We start from the raw sequence: 3,965 nt of genomic DNA, 5'->3' as shown, positions 1-3,965 counted from the left end.
GGAATCCTCCCTAATTCATTTTATGAGGCCAGCATCATCCTGATACCAAAACCCGGCAGAGACACAACAAAAAAAGAAAATTTCAGGCCAATATCCCTGATGAACATCGATGTGAAAATCCTCAATAAAATACTGGCAAACCGAATCCAGCAGCACATCAAAAAGCTTATCCACCACGATCAAGTCAGTGTCATCCCTGGCATGCAAGGCTGATTCAACATATGCAAATCAATAAATGTAATCCATCACATAAGCAGAACCAATGACAAAAACCACATGATTATCTCAATAGATGCAGAAAAGGTCTTTGACAAAATTTAACAGCCCTTCATGCTAAAAACTCAATAAACTAGGCATTGATGGAACGTATCTCAATATAATAAGAGTTATTTAGGACAAACCCACAGCCAATATCATACTGAATGGGCAAAAACTGGAAGCATTCCGTTTGTGCCGGTACAAGACAAGGATGCCCTCTCTCACCACTCCTATTCAACATAGTGTTGGAAGTTCTGGCCAAGGAAATCAGGCAAGAGAAAGAAATAAAGGGTATTCAAGTAGGAAAAGGGAAGTCAAATTGTCTCTGTTTGCAGATGACATGATTGTATATCTAGAAAACCCCATTGTCTCAGCCCAAAATCTCCTTAAGCTAATAAGCAACTTCAGCAAAGTCTCAGGATACAAAATCAATGTGCAAAAATCACAAGCATTCCTACACACCAATAATAGACAGAGAGCCAAATCATGAGTGAGCTCCTATTCAAAATTGCTACAAAGAAAATAAAATACCTAGGAATACAACTTACAAGGGAAGTGAAGGACCTCTTTAAGGGGAACTATAAATCACTGCTCAGGGAAATAAGAGAGAACAGAAACAAATGGAAAAACATTCCGTGCTCATGGATCGGAAGAATCAATATCGTCAAAATGGCCATACTGCCCAAAGTAATTTATAGATTCAATGCTATCCTGATCAAGCTACCATCAAGTTTCTTTAGAAAATTGGAAAAAAACTACTTTAAATTTCATACAGAACGAAAAAAGATCCTGTATTGCCAAGACAATCCTTAGCAAAAAGAACAAAGCTGGAAGCATCACGCTACCTGACTTCAAACTATACTACAAGGACACAGTAACCAAACAGCATGGTACTGGTACCAAAAACAGATTATATATAGACCAATGGAATAGAACAGAGGCCTCAGAAATAACACCACACAGCTACAGCCATCTGATCTTTGACAAACCTGACAAAAACAAGCAATGTGGAAAGGATTCCCTATTTAATAAATGGTGTTGGGAAAACTGGGTAGCCAATATGCAGAAAGCTGAAACTGGACCCCTTCCTTACATCTTTTACAAAAATTAACTCAACATGGATTAAAGACTTAAATGTAAGACCTACAACCATGAAAACTCTAGAAGAAAACCTAGGCAATACCATTCAGGACATAGGCATGTGCAAAGACTTTATGACTAAAACACCGAAAGCAATGGCAACGAAAGTCAAAATAGACGCTATTCACAATAGCAAAATAGGCACTATTCACAATAGCAAAGAGTTGGAACCAACCCGACTGCCCATCAGTGATAGACTGGATAAAGAAAATGTGACACATATACACCATGGAATACTATGCAGCCATAAAAAGGAATGAGTTCATGTCCTTTGCAGGGACATGGATGAAGCTGGAAACCATCATTCTCAGCAAACTAACACAAGAACAGAAAACCAAACACCACATGTTATCACTCATAAGTGGGAGTTAAACAATGAGAACACATGGACACAGGGAAGGGAACATCACACACCTGGGCCTGTCAGGGGGTGGGGGTTTAGGGGAAGGATAGCATTAGGAGAAATACCTAATGTAGATGACAGGCTGATCGGTGCAGCAAACCACCATGGCATGTGTATCCCTATCTGACAAACCTGCACGTTCTGCACATGTACCCCAGAACTTAAAGTATAATAAAAAAAAAGGGCTAAATGAAAAGAAAACAAAGATCATACGGTTTTTGTCTTTCATTCTGTTGATATAATGTGTCATTGTGATTGATTTGCATATGTTGAACTAGCCTTGTATTACTGGGCTAAATCCTAGTTGGTCATGATGAATGACTTTTTCAATGCGTTGTTGAATTCAGCTTACTAGCATCTTGTTAAGGATTTTTGCATCAATGTTCACCAGAGATATTGGCCTGTAGTTTTCTTTTTTTAATGTGTCTTTTTCTGGTGTTAGTATCAGGGTAATACTCACCTCATATAGTGAATTTGGAAGTATTTCCTCCTTTATTTTGCAGAATAGTTTGAGTAGAATTGGTGTCAGTTCTTTAAATACTTGGTAAAATTCAGCAGTGAAGCCATCAGGTCCCTCGCTTTTCTTTGCTGGGAGATTTTTTTATTACAGCTTCAATCACATTACTTGTTATTGATCTGTTCAGTTTTTGGGTTTTTTTCATGTTTCAATCTTGGTAGGTTGTATGTGTTTAGGAATTTATCCATTTCTTCTAGAGTTTTCAATTTATTGGCATATAGTATATGTACTGTCTGTGTCTTGAAAACTTGTTGTAGTTATTTATTTTTGATGAGTTAATCTTTTAGCCTTTCTATTCAATATGAGTAGTTTGCACACCACAATTACAATGTTATAATGTAATGTGTTTTTCTTTATATTTACTATTACCAGTGAGTTTTGTGCCTCGACATTATTTCTGATTGCTCATTAGCATCCTTTTCTTTCCTACTGAAAAATTCATTTTAGCATTGCTTTGTAGGACTTTTCTTTTTTTCTGGGAAACTTTCTTTCTCCTTCAACTTTGAAGGGTATTTTTCCTGGATATGCTATTGTAGGAGACTTATTTTTTCTTTCAGTATTTTAAATATGTCATACCACTGTCTCCTGGCCTATAAGGCATTCACTGAAAAGTCTGCTGCCAGATGTATTAGAGCTCCATTTACGCCATTTGTTTTTTCTCCCTCGCTGCTCTCAGGATCCTCTCTTTATCCTTGACCTTTGTGAGTTTGATTATTAAATGTCTTGAGGTATTCTTATTTGGGTTAAATCTTCTCTGTGTTTTACAGCCTTCTTGTACTCAAGCAATGATATGTTTCTCTAGGTTTGGAAAGTTTACTGATATTATCTCTTCAAATAAACTTTCTACCTCTATCTCTCTCTCTACCTCCTCTTTAAGGGTAAAAATCTTAGATTTGCCTTTTGAGGCTGTATTCTAGATCTTGCAGGCATGCTTCATTCTTTTTTCTTTTGTCTTGTTGGACTGTATTTTTAAAAGCCTCTCTTCAAGCTAATTCTTTCTTTTGCTTGATCAGTTCTGTTACTAAGACACTCTGATGCATTCTCCAGTTTCTTAAATGCATTTTTCAGCTCCAGAATTTCTGCTTGGTTCTTTTTAATTATCTCAATCTCTTTGTTAAATTTATCTGATATGATTCTGAATTCCTTGTCTCTTTTATCTTGAATTTTGTTGCGTTTCCTCAAAACTGCTATTATGAATCTTCTGTCTGAAACGTCACATAAGTCTATCTCTGCATGATTGGTCACTGGTGCCTTACTGAGTTGATTTCATGAGGTCGTGTTTTCCTGGATGGTCTTGATGCTTTGATATTTGTCAGTGTTTATGCATTGTAGAGTTAGGTATTTATGTAAGTCTTCACAGTCTGGGCTTGTTTGTATGATTTTGTTTTGGGAAGGCTTTCCAGGTATTTGAAGGAACTTGGGTGTTGTGATCTAAGTTCTGGTCACTTTAGTCATATCTGCATTAGGGTGCACCAAAGCAGAATAATGCTATGGCTCTTGCAGACTCATAGAGGCACTTCCTTGGTGGTCTTAAACAAGATCCAGAAGAATTATCTGGATTACCAAGCAGACTCTTGTTCTATTCCCTTACTTTCTCCCAAACAAATGAGGTCTCTCTCTCTCTGTGCTAAGCTGCCTGGGACTGGG

The sequence above is a fragment of the Homo sapiens genome, chromosome 7 (genome assembly GCF_000001405.40).
Source record: "Homo sapiens chromosome 7, GRCh38.p14 Primary Assembly".
NCBI classification, from domain to species: Eukaryota; Metazoa; Chordata; class Mammalia; order Primates; family Hominidae; genus Homo; species Homo sapiens.
The sequence above is the reverse complement of the archived record's forward strand: the minus strand, read 5'-3'. Positions refer to the sequence as shown.